The following is a 19418-nucleotide window of genomic DNA, read 5'->3' on the forward strand; positions in this document are numbered from 1 at the left end:
CAGTCACACACTACGACCATTATAAGGTCTTGTCTCGATGCATTACAAAAACTGCATTAAGGCTGGCCACTGAAGGGCCTCAGGTTTCCAAACTTGAGCAAAGAAATATTAGACTTAACTTATCCCAATTCAACATTGTATTTCCTCCTTTCATCTTTCTTCCCCCAACTTCTTAGGACCTAGATTCTCTGAAAGCAATTATGTTTCCCTTTTCCACCTATGCAAAGAAGAAATTTATCTCACCATTTTCTCCTTAGGCTAAAATCAAGAGGATCAAATCAAATATTTATTGAAACCTTAGTATCTGCTTAATGCCTGGAGCATGGAAGGAGTCCTGCCTTCTAATTATGTAACTGTTAAAATGCACTCGATTGAGGTTCAAATCTATGAATAAAAAAGGTTATATTAATAAAAAATTGTTAAAATTGCCAGTTTCAATCTGTCTCATGACATCTGACTTTTTGGTCTCCAAAATGGGAGCATGTACCAAAGTATCATGCAAGATGCTCAGTCTCCATTGGAATAGGTAGAAAATATAAAAGCTTCTACTTATTTTTATGGTAAAAATGAAATAAATTAACCATGATACAAAATTCTAGGTAGGGATTGACACTCAGGCCTCAATTTGCACCACAAATGATTGCCTATCCTCGGTTCACTGAGGAGAATAGAAATTTCACAGAATAGAAGTTTCACAGGCAGGCGCCATGGTTCATGCCTGTAATCCCAGCACTTTGGGAGGCCGAGGCGGGTGAATCACTTGAGTTCGAGACTAGCCTGGGCAACATGGCGAAACCCCATTTCTACTAAAAATACAAAAATTCGCCAGGCATGGTGACAGGCACCTGTAGTCCCAGCTACTCAAGAGGCTAAGAGTGGAGGATCACTTGAGACCAGGAGTTTGAGGTTGCAGTGAGCCATGATTGTGCCACTGCACTTCAGCCTGGGTGACAAAGTGAGATATTCTCTGGGAAAAAAAAAAAAAGATGCCGTTAGGAGATGAAAAGTTGTCTCCAGCCGGGCACAGAGCCTCACACCTGTAATCCCAGCATTTTGGGAGGCCAAGGCGGGTGGATTACCTGAGGTCAGGAGTTCAAGACCAGCCTGACCAACATGGTGAAACCCCCATCTCTACGAAAAATACAAAAATTAGCCAGGTGTGGTGGCGCGTGCCTGTAATCCCAGCCACTCAGGAGGCTGAGGCAGGAGAATTACTTGAACCCAGGAGGCAGAGGTTGCAGTGAGCCAAGATAGAGCCACTGAACTCCAGCCTGGGCAACAGAGGAGGACCCTGTCTCAAAAAAAAAAAAAAAAAAAAAAAAAGCTGTCCACAGAGGAGATCTACAGAAGAAAAAAAAAGAAGAGAGACAGAGAGAGAAGAAAAGTTAGGCCAGCAAATAGAATTTATTTGAAATACATATAATTGAAAAGGGGCTCAACTCCATATGTATTTCCAGAAATCAATTTTTAAAAAAACAGGCGACCAAATAGAAAAATAGACAAAAGTCACTTCCCCAGAAATTCTTCTATTGAAAATGTATCAGGGGTATTCTGTTCTTACAGTGTCCTAGCAAATTCAATTCAGCCTCCAAGTCCCACCACCATCCTGCTTAGTAACCAAGGTTCTCTCTGGGCTTACCTGTCCTGGAGGAGTTCTAGGGCAGTGTCAATGCAAGGAAGACAACTGACAAGGCTGTTCAAGATCACCAGGTGCGGTGGCTCATGCCTGTAATCCCAGCACTTTGGGAGGCCCAGCAGGGCAGATCACCTGAGATCGGGAGTTTGAGACTAGTGCGTAGATAATAGTAGGCAAGTACTTCTCAGGTGGACACCAAGTGAAGTCCTTGCAGTGGACAAGTTCTCACAAAACAAACTCACTCTGATAGAATATAATGTAATACCTCTCCCACTTTTAACTTCCGTGAATTCCTGCCTCCCACCCTTGGGTGTTTATCCTTTCATCCCACAGTCCAGATTGCTTATCTTTTACTTTTCTTCAAACAATATCTCCTGATGGCTTATAATGGCTTATAAGGAAGAACACTATCATTAGGAAATAAATCAATCAACTTCCCCTTGAGAGAATAGATTATACATTCCAAAGTGTGGACACCCAGCTGAGTCACTGATTCTGGAGTAGAATTCTAGAGGGTGTGTGGACACCCAGCTGAGTCATACTGATTCTGGAACAGAATTCTAGAGGTGCCGTTCATGGAGAATATAATGTAAATAGTATGACTTAGAGTTGTGCATCAGGCCAGGTACTGAAGTCTCTTCTAATGAAAGGGAGAAAAAAGAAGAAATGAAGAGTAGGAAGAAAAAGAAGAAAAGAAGTCTCTTCTAATGAAAGGGAGAAAAAAGAAGAAATGAAGAGTAGGAAGAAAAAGAAGAAAAGAAGGAGAGATACAAACAGGGAGGGAGGAAGACAATTGAATGGTCCTATCAAAAACAAATACCTTCTCATTTTTGTAACTGAGTAATGGCAAGTAAAAAATAGCAACGTAGAAAATATACATTTTGGTGCTTATGTACCTGAGACTAAATAAAGCTTTGTAAATGCTGTTTCCTTAGAGACAATTTTACAGATACTCCCAACCTCTATCCTTCCTTCACCTGGCTAACTCCTACCTAGATATTCTCTGTTTAATACAGAACTCTTTACCCCATTATTTCCGGTTTCAGCATCCTGCTTGCTTCCTTTAGAGAATGTATTATAATTTGTAATTATCTTAAATTTTTTGGTATACTTAATTTTTTGCCTGTCTCTCCTGAACTCCTCAATGGGAGCAGTGAGTATTTATCTTATTCACAATATTCCCAGAGCCTAGCATTGAAGGACTCAAAAACTTGTTGGCACTCAACTGGGGGTGGTTTTGTCCCCTGAGTGGATAGTTGGCAATATTTCTGAAGAGGATTGGTGGGAGAAAGAATTAGTAACATTCCTTTGCATTGATATTACAAGAGAGTCCCAGACATCATTAATGCCACTATTGAGAAACTCTGATTTAAGCTGGGGCTTTAAAATATGTCTTTGGGCCGGGCCCAGTGGCTCACGTCTGTAATCCCAGCACTTTGGAAGGCCGAGTTGGGCGGATCACCTGAGATCAGGAGTTCGAGACCAGCCTGGCCAACATGATGAAACTCCATCTCTATCAAAAATACAAAAATTAGCTGGGTGTGGTGCAGGTACCTATAATCCCAGCTACTCGGGAGGCTGAGGCAGGAGAATCGCTTGAACCCGGGCGGCGGAGGTTGCAGTGAGCTGAGATGGCACCACTGCATTCCAGCCTGGGCAACAAGAGCAAAACTCTGTCTCAAAGTAAAATAAAATATGTTTCTGGGCAGGGCGCAGTAGCTCATGCCTGTAATCCCAACACTTTGGAAAGCTGCGGCTGCTTGAGACCAGAGTTCAAGACCAGCCTGGGCAACATGGCGAAACCCTGTCTCTACAAAAAATTGCAACAATTAGCCGGGCATGGTGGATCATGCCTGTAGTCCCAGCTACTATGGAGGGTGAGGTGAGAGAATCACTTGAGCCCAGGAAATTAAGACTGTCATGAGCCATGACTGTGCCACCCCTCTCCAGCCTGGGCAATAGGAGTGAGACCCTGTCTCTCAAAAAACAAAAACAAGAACAAAAAAAAAAGAAAGAAAGAAAAGAAAAATATATTTTAAAACAAATCTTAGGCAAAGCATTTTTGCTTTTCCGCTCACTGTCACATAATTAAAAAGTCCACCAGGCCAGGTGTGTTGGCTCATGCCTATAATTCAACACTTTTCAAAGCCAAGGTGGGAGGATCAGTTGAGCCCAGGAGTTCGAGACCAGCCTGGTTAACAAAGTGAAATTCTGCCTCTACAAAAAATTTTAAAAAATAATACCAGGATACGATGGCACATGCCTGTAGTACAGCTACTCCAGAGGCTGAGGCAGGAGGATCCCTTGAGCCCAGGAGTTTGAGACTGCAGTGAGTGAGCTATAATCGTGCCACTGTACTCCAGCTTGGTGACAGAGCAAGAGCCTCTCTGTCAGAAAAAAAAAAAAAAAAAGTCCTCCAGTAATTTTCTAGTAATAAAAAAAAGTGGCCTTTTGCCCCTAGTATTAGAAAAAAATCCTGTCCAGTGCAATATCAAAAATTCTCTGCCATTTCCTCTACCTTGTTCTCCCTTCTCCCTGGCTTATTGGCTTTTTGTTTTGTGCCCCTCCACAGTTGAAGAAGACAAGAACAGAAAGGATCTTTCTGGACTGACACAGTTTTAGCAGTCAGTGACTTTTGGGAGTGGCTGAGGTCTGAAGCTGACTCTTTCTCTCATGGAGTCCATCACTGGAACCCTCACCTACAGTCTCTTGGCTCAGCAATGTATCTTCTGGATGGCCACCTATGACCTAGTCCTTAGTCCCCTGATTTCCAGGGATCCTCTCACCCAAACTGACAGTCCTTTTGGACAGACATTTTCAAGGTGACCCAGTCCAAATCTCTTACATGAGGTTCTCACTTAGTCCACAAAAAGCATACAAGTATCTTGCACAGAAGTGTGAACTGTTCCCAATCAGCCCTATATGCATTTTGTGTGTGTGTGAAAGTCTCGCTGCAGTGCAGTGGCACAATCCTGGCTCACTGCAACCTCTGCCTCCTGGGTTCAAGTGATTCTCCTGCCTCAGCCTCCCGAGTAGCTGGGACTACAAGCAGGCACTACCATGCCCGGCTAATTTTTGTATTTTTTTTTTTTTTAGCAGAGACGGGGTTTCGTCATTGTTGGCCACGCTGGTCTTGAATTCCTGACCTCAAGTGATCTGCCTGCCTCAGCCTCCCAAAGTGCTGGGATTACCGGCATGAGCCTCCATACCCAGCCCCTATATGCATCTTCTGCTCAGAGGCGGCCTCAGTCTCTTGATTTAGAACTTTTCAAATGTACATCAGTTACCAGATATCATCTCTGTAAGATTCAAGGGGCACATCTCATCTTTTCCAAATGGTTCTCTTGAAGCCCCTCAGACTTGGCTTGAGATGAGACAGAAGCACCTATTTCCCCACCCATCATGGAGGTATCTTAACTTAAGATGTGTAATTTGGCACTGACATTTGAAGTCTCTGCCAAGAATCTGTTATCATCTATTCACTCTTAGAGTAACGATTCAGGTTACCCTAGCTCAAAGTTTCTAAAAAATGACGCGACACGGACATTTTGGATTAAATAATTCTTTGTTGTGGAGGGTGGTTCCTGTGCACTGAAGGATATTTAGCAGCATCTTTAGTCTTTACCTACTAGATCCCAGCAGCACCTCCTCCAGTGATAACAAACAAAAATGTCTCCAAACATTGCCAAAAGTCACCCAAGGGGCAAAATCACACCCAGTTGAGAATTGGTGCTCTAGTTTAGGCTAGTGCTTCTCAGAGTTTTCTTAGATTATCAGATCAGGTCATTTAGAAAATTATAATACACTGGGATCAATAGACAAGGATGCTTGCTGTTAGAGGTTTCCAGCAGGGATCACTGCCTTGGCATACCTGTAAGCCACTTGAAGCCCATAGGTGAACTGGGATACAGAATTTGGATGCCCTAACTTTGGCAAAAAGGAGGTTTACTGGCTTATAGAATCCAAGGAATGATAGCTAGAACCAGGGACTCAAACATTGCAAGGGCTTTCTAATCTCTTTACCACTCCCTTTTTTTTTTTTTTTTTTTTTGAGGTAGGGTATCGCTGTGTCACCCAAACTGAAGTGCAGTGGCACAATCATGGCTTACTGCAGCCTTGACCTCCTGGGTTCAAGCAATCTTCTCGTCTCAGCCCCCCAAGAAGCTTGGACTACAAGTGCACTCCACCACGCCTGGCTAATTTTTGTATTTTTTATAGAGATGGGTTTTCGCCATGTTGCGCAGGTTGGTTTCATACTCCTGGGCTCAGGTGGTCTGCCTGCCGTGGCGTCCCAAAGTGCTGGGATTACAGGTGTGAGCCACAGTACCTGGCCCGTCACTCACTTTCTAATTTGCCATCTTATAGTTTTCTCCAAAAGCAGAGTTCCCGGTTTAAAAAAAATCCCAAAGAAGGGATTTACTATCTTCACCTGGGTCCAGTGCCTGTCCAAGAGCATTCAGCCAGAGGGTCAGTGTCATGGAAGAACAGGGCACCTTCCATGACAATCAAGTAGATGAATGGAAGACACAATATCATAGATAGCCAATACTGGCTTACAGGCCAAGAAAAATTTCTTACTTGGCCCACCTCGCACTCCCGAAGTGCTAGGATTATAGATGTAAGTCACTGTGCCTCGCTGAACACAGGCCTTTTTTTGGAGTAGCACAGCATTCTCATAACTACTGAGGCAATGCAGTGAAAATATGCTCTAGGTCATTTTCCAGCTTCAGATCTCCAGATTTTACCATTTTCACAATCTTTTCAAGCCTCAATTTCTTGATCTTAAAAATGGCAATAATTTTTTTAATAACAGCTTTATTGAGATATATACACATACCATACAATTCATCCATTTAAAGTCTACACCTCAATGGTTTTCAAGTGTACACTTCCAGAGGAGGAGAGACATTTTTGGCAGAGGGAGGAGAATAGGCAAAGGCACATCAGCAAGAAAGAATATACTGCAATTGGGAACTTACAAGGGGTCAGTATTGCTAAGTAAAGATTGAGAGCAGGGGATAGGGGAAAAGACTATACAAGAGAGGCAGATCATAAGTGGCCTTGTCTGCTAAGTAGTTTTTCTTCTAAGGATACAAATAACTTTGGGAAAGAAAGCAACACAATGAGATTTACATATTGGATTACTTGGATGGTAATGACTGAAATAGAGTAGAGACAGGCTACTTATTGTAGAATCCAGACAAGGGAAGGTAAGGGCCTAGCAGTGGAGATGGTAATGAGAGTTACTTAGGAGTCTAAAATAACAGACTTTTAATTGACTGCATGGGAGATGGAGCCTAGGAGGGCTCCTCTGTACAGATCCTCTAAATTCTTACCTGGGTTATTTTAATAGCTTCCTCACATGTCTTTCCGACTCTATTCTCAGTCTCCTTTAGTCCAATGCCATACTTCTAAACATAACTTTCTAAAACCTGTATCTAGTCATGTAAGTCTTCAATGACTCTTCCCTGCTCCCAAAGAGTTTTTTTCTCACCAAGGTCCTAGGATGAGGCAAATAAGTTGCCTAGAATGCAATATCTAAGAACCCTATATTTGCAGGAACCAGCAAATACTTCTAACTGTATGCCCTAGGCACCTTGCTTGCTTCCTAGGTCCTCATGGCCTTAGTTTGACCCAAATTTACTCCACCTACCTAGTATTTTGCTATGCCCAATCAAACACCCTGTCCTCAAGCTACTCTAACTTATATTTCGTTTTTCTGAAAGGCAAAACATTTGCTTGTGCCTCTCCTACTTAGTGCAACTTTACTTATACAGGGAATGCCTTTTCTCTCAAAAGTGAACTCCATTCCATTCATCCTTTAAAGGGACACCTTCTGGGGCAGCCATGTTCAACCCTTTGAATGCAACAACTTTTTTGCTGATCCATGGTGGTGGATATCATGAAAATTATGCACGGAACTTTTTTTTTTTTTTTTTTTGAGACAGAGTTTCACTCTTGTTGCCCAGGCTGGACTGCAATGGCGAGATCTCGGCTCACTGTAACCTCTGCCTCCCGGGTTCAAGCGATTCTCCTGCCTCAGCCTCCCGAGTAACTGTGATTATAGGCGCCCACCACCACACCCAGCTAATTTTTTTTATATTTTAGTAGAGACGGGGTTTTACCATATTGGCCAGGCTGGTCTCTAACTCCTGACCTCAGGTGATCCACCCACCTCAGCCTCCCAAAGTACTGGGATTACAAGCGTGAGCCACTGCATCTGGCCTTCACGGAACATTTTTTTTTTTTTTTTTTAGCTCATCAGCTATCGTTAGTGTTAGTATATTTTATGTATGGCCCAACGCCATTCTTCTTCCAGTGTGGCCCAGGGAAGCCAAAAGGATGGATACCCGTGTCCTAGGGGAAGCCTCTTCTGACTTTTCTGTGCTGTGTGGGCCTTTCCTTGCATTCTGTACCATGTTCCTTAGTGATTATTACTGCTGCTTGATTATACAATATAACCTGTAATGTCATTATTACACATAGCAGTGATTTGTTCACTTTTCCATTTCCTGAACCAAGCTGTGGGCAGGAATTTTTCTTACTCATTCTAGTATTTCCAGCTTTCAGCACACCACAAGGCACGATGTAAGAAATGAACAAATCAATAAACCTATTACTGAAAAAGACGAATGAATGGGAAAATATGAAAGAATTACAAGATACATTTTTTAACTTAGAGAAGCAGTAATTTTCTTGTACTTCTCAAAATTTCCATCATTTAAATGTATACACAGCAGATGCAGCTCTTTTTAAAAAATAAGTTTAGAAATGACACACGGTTTTCTAGGGTTTTGAAGTCGTAAGATTTTTTAGAAATGCAAAATATGAACTCTTGTTTCTTGGTAGTTTAATTTAAATTTTATGTTCTTTATGTTAAAGTAACTTTAGAATAAACTTACTTGCCTAAACTCTTACTTGAAAAATCTCTGTGGTGTCTATTAGTTATTTTACATTTTGATGTAAATACCTTCCAATAGAACACAGATGTCTCTCTCTCTCTCTCTCTTTGAAAAAGGATCAAACTGGGAGGATAACTTGAGGTCAGGAGTTCGAGACCAGCCTGGCCAACATGGAGAAACCCTGTCTGTACAAAAAATACAAAAATTAGCCGGGCATGGTGGCATGTACCTGTAGTCCCAGCTACTCAAGAGGCTCAGGCGGGAGGATTGCTTGAGCCCAGGAGGCAGAGGTTGCAGAGAGCTGAGATCACATCACTGCACTACAGCCTAGGTGACAGAAGGAAACTCCGTCTCAAAAATAAGTAAATAAATAAAAATAAACAATAAAAATAAAAAATAAATAAATAAATTTAGAACATTTTCACCATTCCCGAAAGAAACCCTGTATCCTTCTGCAGTCACTTAAATTTCCCCTCAACTCTCCCAGCTCTAGGCAATCACTATGCTGCTTCCTCTTTGTATAGATTTGCCTATTCTGGACATTGCATATAATTAGAACCATATACAATATACAGTCTTTGTAACAGGCTTTTTTTTTTTTTTTTTTTTTTTTTGAGACAGAGTCTCCCTCTGTCGTCCAGGCTGGAGTGCAGTGGTGCAGTCTTGGCCACTGCAACCTCCACCTCCTGAGTTCAAGCCATTCTCCTGCCTCAGCCTCCCAAGTAGCTGGGACTACAGGTGCACACCACCATGCCCGACTAATTGTTATATTTTTAGTAGAGATGGGGTTTCACCATGTTGACCAGGCTGGTCTTGAACTTCTAACCTCAAATGATCTGCCCACCTCCACCTCCCAAAGTGCTGGGATTACAGGCGTGAGCCACCGTGCCCCACCTGACAGGCTTCTTTACTTAACATAATGTTTTAAAGATTCGTCCATGTTATAACATTTATCAGTTCATTATTCCTTTTTATGACCAAATAATATCACATGAATATATCACATTTTATTTATTCATTCATCAGTTGATGGACATTTGAGTTGTTTCTATGTTTTGGCCATTAAGAATACTGCTGAGGCCGGGCGTGGTGGCTCACATCTGTAATCCCAGCACTTTGGGAGGCCGAGGCGGGTGGATCATGAGGTCAGGAGATAGAGACCATCCTGGCTAACACGGTGAAAATCTGTCTCTACTAAAAATACAAAAACAAAATTAGCCAGGCATGGTGGTAGGCGCCTGTAGTCCCAGCTACTCGGGAGGCTGACGCGGGAGAATGGTGTGAACCCGGGAGGCAGAGCTTGCAGTGAGCCGAGATTGCACCACTGCTCTCCAGCCTGGGCAACAGAGTGAGATTCCATCTCAAAAAAAAAAAAAAGAAAAGAAAAATGCTGCTAGGCAAGGCACGATGTCTCACGCCTGTAATCCCAGCACTTTGGGAGGCCCAGGCTGGAGGATCACTTGAGGCGAGGAGTTTGAGACCAGCCTGGCCAACATGGTGAAACCCACTCTCTACTAAAAATTCAAAAATTAGCTGGCATGATGGCGGGTGCCTGTAATCCCAGCTACTCGTGAGGCTGAGATGGGAGAATCACTTGGGCCTGGGAAACAGAGGTTGCAGTGAGCCGAGATCGTGCCACTGCACTCCAGCCTGGGTGACAGAGTGAGACTATGTCTCAAAAAAAAAAAAAAGAATAATGCTGCTATGCATATTCATGTACAAGTTTTGGTATGAACGTATGTTTCATTTCTCTTGGGTATTACCTAGGAGTAGAATTGCTGGACCATATGCTAACTCTGTATTTAACGTTTTGAGGAACTGAATCTGTAGTATTTGGATATGTACATACCACTATACTCTGAATAGATGTTCTAAATTAGCATCTAAAACCATACTTTGAGTTCTAGATGCCTTGGTTAGCTTAGTTCTGACTCATAGAAGGGTCCTGTAAAATACTTTCAGAGGTTAGTGAGACTAAAGCTATAATGGCCAATATGTGACCTATAGCATTGTATATATTTGAAAGGAGGCCCTGAGGTATTTCTGGGGACTGCCAAGTTTTTGCAGTTAGTAGAAAAAGTAATTGGAGCTACAAATTACCTAAAAGTGTTCATCTACTTAGGTGATATAATTGCTTTTACAACCTCAATGTGCTAGACTTCTTTCTTCAGGCTTAATGTCGTCACTTGATAAATGTTGTTTCCACTAATCAATCATTCATGAAGTACATTGGCCACATATTGTTTCAGATGGAATGAGCAGTGACCCTAACTATTCTTAGTTTTTTTTTTTTCGAGACGGAGTCTCGCTCTGTTGCCCAGGCTGGAATGCAGTGGCGCGATCTCAGCTCACTGCAAGCCCCGCCACCCAGGTTCACGCCATTCTCCTGCCTCAGCCTCCCGAGTAGCTGGGACTACAGGCCTCCGTCAACACGCCTGACTAATTTTTTGTATTTTTAGTACAGACGGGGTTTCACGGTGTTAGCCAGGATGGTCTGGCTCTCCTGACCTTGTGATCCGCCCGTCCTCGGCCTCCCAAAGTGCTGGGATTATAGCTGTGATCCACCGCGCCCGGCCGACCCTAACTATTCTAAATAAAGTATCAGATATACCCAACCAGTGCAATTAAATCTGACTTTGATGCTGGGCACGGTGGCTCACGACTGTAATCCCAGCACTTTGGGAGGCCGAGGTGGGCAGATCACTTGAGGTCAGGAGTTTGAGATCAGCCTGACCAACATAGTGAAACCCATCTCTACTAAAAATACAAAAATTAGGGCCAGATGCGGTGGCTCATGCCTGTAATCCCAGCACTTTGGGAGGCCAAGGGGGGGCAGATCACAAGATCAGGAGATCAAGACCATCCTGGCTAACATGGTGAAACCCCGTCTCTACTAAAAATACAAAAAATTAGCTTGGCATGGTGGCGGACGCCTGTAGTCCCAGCTACTCGGGAGGCCGAGGCAGGAGAATGTCCTGAACCCGGGAGGAGGAGCTTGCAGTGAGCCGAGACCACGCCACTGCACTCCAGCCTGGGCGACAGAGCGAGACTCCATCTCAAAAAAAAGAAAAAGAAAGAAAGAAAAATTAGCTGGATGTGGTGGCATGAGTCTGTAGTCCCAGCTACTTGGGAGGCTGAGGAAGGAGAATCACTCAAACCCAGGGGGTGGAGGTTACAGTGAGCCAAGATTGTGCCACTGCACTCCAGCCTGGGTGACAGAGCGAGCGAGATTCTATCTAAATAAATAAATAAAAACAAGTCTGACTTTGGTACCTTCTGCATGTGGCTCACTCCTAGATGCTGGCTCTTTTCTTGTCCCTTTTGTATGTTCCTCAATGACTGTCTCCTTTGCTGGGGACCTCTTACTGTTTCATTCCCCAATCCTGGACAAAAAAACCTGTGGCTGAACATTTAGATGGTCAATTTAAACCTGGTTTGAAGATACAACCTTCTAATATAATTCAAGCCTGGCTACATTCTGTGACACTCACATGGTCCACAGGAAAATTTTTCTTGCAAAGTTGCAAGTACAGGCCCCTTCTGTTGTAGGCCTCTCTCTCTCTCTGTTCTGCCATCAAAGGCTTCTCTAGATAGCCTATTGCTTTTAGACTTTTCCAGGTAACATAAATCCAGGGCACAGAGTCAACCTGTCTGAATTTCTTAAAGTTCCTTTACTTGGCTTGAGGTGGAGATGGCGTGGGATAAGCACTCTCTTCTTCCCACTCCTGGGGAAGGGGAACAAAAATGCACAGCACTCCAGAAAACTGTCTCCCAGGCTTTTTTTTTTTTTTTTTGAGACAGGGTCTGGCTCTGTCACCCAGGCTGGAGTACAGTAGCACGATCTTGGATCACTGCAACCTCCATCTCCTGGGCTCATGCCATCACCCTCCCATGTCATCCTCCCACCGCAACCTCCCGAGTAGCTGACACTACAGGTGTGCCCAGCCACACCCAGCTAGTTTTTGCATTTTTACAGAGACTGGTTTTCATCATGTTGCCCAAGCTGGTCTTGAACTCCTGGGCTCAAAGTGATCCACCTGCCTCAGCCTCCCAAAGTGCTGGGACTACAGGCATGAGCCACCAAGCCTGGCCCTTCCAGGCATGTTTATTCTACAACCTTCTTTCATCAATCCTGACATATCATTCCTGGGAGGTGTGTGAGAACTGAGGATTGCTAAACTGGCTTCACAGTCTTCCAGCATGTCCTATGGGGATGGTCTGGCATCCTCTTTTAGAATGCTCAGGGTACTTCACATTTATTTTTCTCAGCTTTGGAGCCTCTGTTAAAAGACGCACTGAAGGGTCTCATTTAATATGCCATATATCTTAGAAATATGTGCCAGGATTGTTCTATGTTCTTTTTTTTTTTTTTTAAGGTGTGCACTTTTATTCAACTGGTCTCAAGTCAGTATACAGGTAAGCCCTGGCTGCCTCCACTCACTCCCAGGGAAACCAAAAGCCTTCATCATACATCTCAAGTTGGGGGACACAAAAGGGGGCCACAAAGGCTGATCATTCAAAATAAAACAAAATAAAAAAGTATTAAGGCAAAGATTAAAAAAATTTTGCGGCGGGGCACGGTGGCTCACACCTGTAATCCCAGCACTTTGGGAGGCTGAGGCAGGCAGATCACAAGGTCAGGAGATCAAGACCATCCTGGCTAACACAGTGAAACCCCATCTCTACTAAAAATACAAAAAATTAGCCGAGCGTGGTGGCAGGCGCCTGTAGTCCCAGCTACTCGGGAGGCTGAGGCAGGAGAAGGGCGTGAACCCAAGCGACGGAGCTTGCAGTGCGCCAAGATTGCACCACTGCACTCCAGTATCGGCCACAGAGCGAGACTCCATTTCAAAAAAAAAATTTGCATTACATAATTTACATGATAGCAATGCTGTCACCTCCCCTGTGTGGACTCAGGAGAGGACTGGGCCGTTCTCCTTAGAGAGAAGTGGGGTGACTTTTAGGAGGGCAAGGGACTTCCTGTAACAATGCATCTCACGATATTTGGAATGACTATTAAAAAAAAGAACAATGTACAATCAAAGTCCTGGGCCACACTGTAGAACTTTGGGGGATGCTCACTTGCTCACTCCAACTGACTACTCTCACCTTCACCGTTCCAGTTTTAAAATACTGAGTCAAGACACCCCCTCAAAAAAAAAATAAAAATAAAAAAAGTCATGCCAATCTCATCTTGTTTTCCATGCAAGTTAGCTTTTGTCAAGAAAGGGTGTAATGCAACTAAGTAAAAGTCTGCTTAGAAGCATTTGCGGTGGACAACGGAGGGGCTGGAGGGGCTGGACTAATTGTATTCCTGCTTGCTGATCCACATCTGCTGGAAGGTGGACAGCAAGGCCAGGATGGAGCCACTGATCCACATGGAGTATCTACTCTCGGGAGGAGCAATGATCTTGATCTCCATCGTGCTGGGCCCCAGGGTGGTGATCGCCTTCTGCATCCTGTCAGCGATGCCAGGGTACATGGTAGTGCCGCCAGACAGCACTGTGTTGGCGTAGAGGTCTTTGCATATGTGCACATCACACTTCATGATGGAGTTGAAGGTAGTTTCTTGGATGCCACAGGATTCCATGCCCAGGAAGGAAGACTGGAAGAGCACCTTGGGGCAGTGGAACCGCTCCTTGCCGATAGTGATGACCTGGCTGTTGGGCAGCTAGTAGCTCTTCTCCAGGGAGGAGCTGGAGGCCACCGTGGCCATCTCCTGATCCAAGTCCAGGGTGACGTAGCACAGCTTCTCCTTGATGCCATGCACGATTTCCCACTGGGCGGTGGTGGTGAAGCTGTAGCGGCGCTCCACGAGGATCTTTATGAGGTAATCAGTCAGGTCCTGGTCAGCCAGGTCCAGAAACAGGGTGGCCTGGAGGAGGGCCTACCCCTCGTAGATGGGCACAGTGTGGGTGACCCTGTCGCTGGAGTCCATCACGATGTGGCCAGAAGCGTACAGGGACAGCATGGCCTGGATGGCCATGTACATGGCTGGGGTGTTGAAGGTCTCAAACATGATATGGGTCATCTTCTCGTGATTGGCCTTGGAGTTCAGGGGGGCCTCAGTCGGCACTACGGGTGCTCCTTGGAGCCACACGCGGCTCGTTGTAGAAGTTGTGGTGCCAGATCTTCTCCATGTCATCCCAGTTGGTGATGATGCTGTGCTCTATGGGGTACTTCAGGGTCAGGATACCTCTCTTGCTCTGGGCCTCATCACCCTCGTAGGAGTCCTTTTGACCCATGCCCACCATCACACAGATGTGGAAGGGCAGCGGAGCTCTGTGCTCGCGGGGTGGACGCGGTCTTAGCAGTCTGTTCTACATTCTTAACCTTTTTTTTTTATGGACCTCTTGGCTTTCTGGTAGAGTCTGGGACCCCCTTTTCAAAGTAATGCTTCTATGTGCATAAAACAAATACATGGGATTACAAGGCAAACCAACTATATTGAAATACAGTTGCCTCCTTGGATCCTATGGAGGTCCAAGTACTCAAGTGAAAAATTTCCATAAGAGCTGGGTGCGTTGGCTCACACCTGTAATCCTAGCATTTTGGGAGGCCAAGGCAGGCGTACTGCCTGAGTTCAGGAGTCTGAGAACAGCTCAGGCAACACAGTGAAACCCTGTCTCTACTAAAATACAAAAAATTAGCTTGGCATGGCAGCATGCGCCTGTAGTCTCAGCTACTTGGGAGGCTGAGGCAGGAGAATTGCTTGAACCCGGGAGGTGGAGGTCGCAGTGAGCCGAGATCGTGCCACTGCATTCCACCCTGGGCAACAGAGCGAGACTTCGTCTCCAAAAAAAAAAAATTTTCCATAAGATTCTTAGTTCTTTCTAAGCATTACTATATTTGTCTTTCTTTTTCTTTTTATTTTTTGAGACAGAGTCCTGCTCTGTTGCCTAGGCTGGAGAGCAGCGGCGTGATCTTGGCTCACTGCAACCTCTGCCTCCTGGATTCAAACGATTCTCCTACCTCAGCCTCCCGAGTAGCTGGAATTACAGGCACGCACCACCACATCTGGCTAATTTTGTATTTTTAGTACAGATGGGGTTTCACCATGTTGACCAGACTGGTCTCGAGCTCCTAACCTCAAATGATCTGCTCACCTCGGCCTCCAGGTGTGAGCCACAGTGCCAGGCCTATATTTGTCTTTCTAACATGCCAGGAGGAAATTGAGACATGAAAAGGGTAAGTACCTTGCTGAAGACCACTGTGACATAAAAAATACATATTTGGGCCAGGCACTGTGTCTCACACCTATAATCCCAACATTTTGGGAGGCTGAGGTGGGAGGATCACTTGAGCCCAGGAGTTTGAGACCAGGCCCTGGCAACATAGGGAGACATTGTCTCTACTAAAATTTTAAAAATTAACTGGGCATGGTGGCAAGTGCCTGTAGTCCTGGCCACTCAGAAGACTGAAGCAGGAAGATCACTTGAGCCCAGGAGTTCTAGGCTGCAGTGAGCTATGATCACACTACTTCAGTGCAGCCTGGGCAATAAAGTGAGATCCTGTATCAAAGCAAGAAAGAAAGAAAGAGAGAAAGAGACAAAGAAAGAAAGAAGGAAGGAAGGAAGGAAGGAAGGAAGGAAGGAAGGAAGGAAGGCGGGCGGGCAGGCAGGCAGGCAAACGAGACAGACAGAAGGAAAAGAAACAAAGAAAGAAAAGATATATATTTGCTCTCTGTCCCCAGTCCTGACACAGAGCTCCTAAATCTCTTGGAATTTCCCGGTTGATAGGAGTGTCTTTTTTTCTAATATTCTTGTTGGGCTCCTGGATAGCTTCAGGATAGGGGCTGGTCACCAGCAAATTCAAGCTATGATTAGAAGCTTAAAAATGTTGGCCCCATACCTACCCTATCCTCTGTGGAGGAGAGAGTAGTTGAAGATTGAGTTAATAATCAATTATGGTTACATTGTCAGAGGGTTCAAACCAGAGCGACTCCGTTTTGAGTGCGGGCTAGGAAAATGAGGCTGGGACTTGCTGGGCTGCATTCCCAGAAAGTTAGGCATTTCTAGCTTCTAAACATTTACAGTTAAGGGAACAGATTGATAATGTTTACTAAACAGACCCAGACTTGGGAGTGTCCTGATGTCCCTGATACCTTGAGAGCAAAAGCATTCCTAATTTTGCTTTAAAGATAATAATATTAATTCTTGCAAAATATGGTAATTAAGAAAATTAATCTTTTACCACAAACCCTCGTAGCAGAGCACATCTTCCCATGATCTTTTTTTTTTTAACTCCTCTATAAATGAATATTGTACCTAGAGTGGATGCATTCCTCTTCTTCCTTTTGGGAACGCCCTACTCTGTCTATAGAGTAAGTGGACATTCACCACTTCACTGTCTTAAACTTGCTTTTGCTTTGGACTGTGGACTTGCCCTGAATTCTTTCTTGTGCGAAATCCAAGCACCCTCTCTTGGGATCTGGATTGGTACCCCTTTCTGGTAACAACATTATGAAGCCTCCACAGAAATCCCTGAAGTACGGGGTTCTAAGAGCTTCTGAGTTGGTGAACACATCCATATCCCAAAAAGGTCATACACCCTGATTCCATGGGGACAGAAGTTCCTGCACTTAGGATCCTTCCAGATCTTGTTTTATGTACCTCTTCATCCGGCTGTTCATCTGTATCCTTTGTAATATCTTCTGTTATAAATCAATAGACTGGTTTGGGATGGGAGGAGAAGATTGTGGGAATTCCTGATTTATAGCTGGTTGGTCAGAAGTACAAGTGACAACCTGGGATTTGCAATTGGTATCTGAAGTGGGGGCAGTCTTGTAGGACTGAGCCCTTAAGGGTTTGGTGCATAGTATTGAATTAAATTTAACTGTACAACACCCAGTTGGTAGACACTAAATTAAAGAGTGGAGTTTATAATAAGAAATAATTGGAGACTTGTTTGGTGGGGAAAAACCTCCACACATTTGGAGTCAGAAGTGTTGAAACTACAGAAAAATAGCTTTGTGTTTCTTTTCCTTTAACAATGCATCTAGTAAGTGGCCAAGAAAGGATTCAAACCCAGGCAGTCTGACTTCACAGTTTTGTTTTGATATTATGCAGATAGGATCCCCTAAATTCATTAATGGTTGCTGTAGCATGTATTGCAGTACTTGTACAGAAGAAACAACTGGTAGTACTCCATGAACTCCATTCTCTGGTTTAGTGAGCATTACACGATGGCTTGGTTATCTGGGGGAGGTACTGGCCTTCAGAATTAATCCAGGCTCCAATTTTTTTTTCCTTGTCTCCAATATCAGAAGACATTGAGTCCCCTGTCCTTCTGGTTTAAACCACTACTTGTTTGGTTTTCTTTTACTTGTAGCGAATATGTTAACTAATATATCCAATAATGGCTAAGATTGAGTGCAGTACTCTGCCAAACCAGAAGAAGGGAGGCTTACAGCAAATTACATTTGGTTTATAAACATAAATTAAATGTGATATTTCTATTTTATATATTTTATTATTATTTTGTAGAAATGAGGGTCTTGCTATTGCCCAGGCTAATCTCGAACTTCTTACCTCAAGGGATCCTCCCTCATCGGCCCCACAAAGTGTTGGGATTACAGATGTGAGCCACCTCACTTGGCCTAAATGTGACATATCTTATTCTCATGCTAAAGAATAAACTCTGTACCCACCGTGTAATACTATTTTTCTCATAATGTTTATTGTGGAATTAAGGAGATAATATGGTCTCAGGAAAGTTGTGTTGAGTGGTAGTCATCATCATTACTGCTATTCTCATTACGTTGAATGTTTGGAAGCTGTGGGAAATGGGAAAGAGGAGGAAATTGGGAAAATAAATGAAAATAGCCTTACAAATTTCAGGTTCTTCAAGTCTCAAGAGCTCCATTTACCCTATAAGTGCAAAATATTTTCACATAAAACCCAGTCTGTGGATCGTTAGTTATTATTAATCTAATAATATCATAAATTGGTACTACTATTCTATTTTCCATTTGGTTAAATGGGAATTTTGAAAACAGAATTATTTTGGCTTTTCACCACAAATATGCTCAGCAACTGGAATTCTTAAATCTGCAGTTTTTTTGTTTTGTTTTGTTTTGTTTTGTTTTTTGTTTTGAGACAGAGTCTCACTCTAGTCACCCAGGTTGGGGTGCAGTAGCACTATCTGGGCTCACACAACCTCCGCCTCCCGGGTTCAAGCGATTTTCCTGCCTCAGCCTCCCGAGTAGCTGGGATTACAGGCAGGTGCCTGGCTAATTTTTGTACTTTTAGTAGAGATGGGGTTTCGCCATGTTGGCCAGGCTGGTCTTGAACTCCTGACCTCAAGTGATCTGCCCGCCTTGGCCCGCCAAAGTGCTGGGATTACAGGCTTCAGCCACCGTGCCCCGCCTAAATCTGCAGTTCTGATGGAATGTTTTGACTGAAGACTGAACGTAGAAACAGTACCTTGGGTTTTGTTGTTGTTATTTTTTCCTAACCCGGCCCCCTATTAGTTTACTATGTATTAGAACCTGAGAGAGGTGACTACTCTGCCAATAAATTGCCACATTCAATATTCTTCGGTTGCCTAATTCAGTGGGAAACACAGAAAAAAAGGTAAAGAGGACATGAAATCAATAATAAATGCATCATCTATACCGGATTGGAATGCCTCTTAACACTCATTCATCTGAGGGCTGAGGGCCTGTGGTAGAAGTTCTTAATCTTGTTTTCAGGGTTTTGAAATTGTGTAACTTTTTTTTCTTTAATGTAATGAGCATGTGTATACACATTTTTTTTTTTCCAGGGGAAACCCTCCATAATTTTTACCAGATTGACAACCGTTCTAGATCCCCCGACAGGTTACGAACTACAATACTAGTTTTTTTTTTTTTTTTTTACCGGTTTGTAAAAGGATGCAAT

The 19418-nt window shown here is 43.8% G+C and overlaps 1 pseudogene, besides 3 other annotated features; it reads right to left on the bottom strand.

The window, feature by feature from the left end:
• Nucleotides 9950-10179: an enhancer, noted in NCBI's record as "active region_1219". NCBI's record gives its function as "activates an Ori minimal core promoter by ATAC-STARR-seq in GM12878 lymphoblastoid cells {active_cell/tissue: GM12878}" and the evidence as "EXISTENCE:reporter gene assay evidence [ECO:0000049][PMID:35858748]".
• Nucleotides 10660-10849: an enhancer, noted in NCBI's record as "active region_1220". NCBI's record gives its function as "activates an Ori minimal core promoter by ATAC-STARR-seq in GM12878 lymphoblastoid cells {active_cell/tissue: GM12878}" and the evidence as "EXISTENCE:reporter gene assay evidence [ECO:0000049][PMID:35858748]".
• On the bottom strand, nucleotides 13799-14810 carry ACTG1P21 (actin gamma 1 pseudogene 21; annotated as a pseudogene).
• Nucleotides 15568-16092: an enhancer, noted in NCBI's record as "H3K27ac-H3K4me1 hESC enhancer chr1:78241322-78241846 (GRCh37/hg19 assembly coordinates)". NCBI's record gives its function as "activates a minimal SCP1, AML or CMV promoter by ChIP-STARR-seq in primed H9 embryonic stem cells {active_cell/tissue: H9 hESC(primed)}" and the evidence as "EXISTENCE:reporter gene assay evidence [ECO:0000049][PMID:30033119]".

Source organism: Homo sapiens, chromosome 1 (assembly GCF_000001405.40).
Source record: "Homo sapiens chromosome 1, GRCh38.p14 Primary Assembly".
Taxonomy (NCBI): domain Eukaryota; kingdom Metazoa; phylum Chordata; class Mammalia; order Primates; family Hominidae; genus Homo; species Homo sapiens.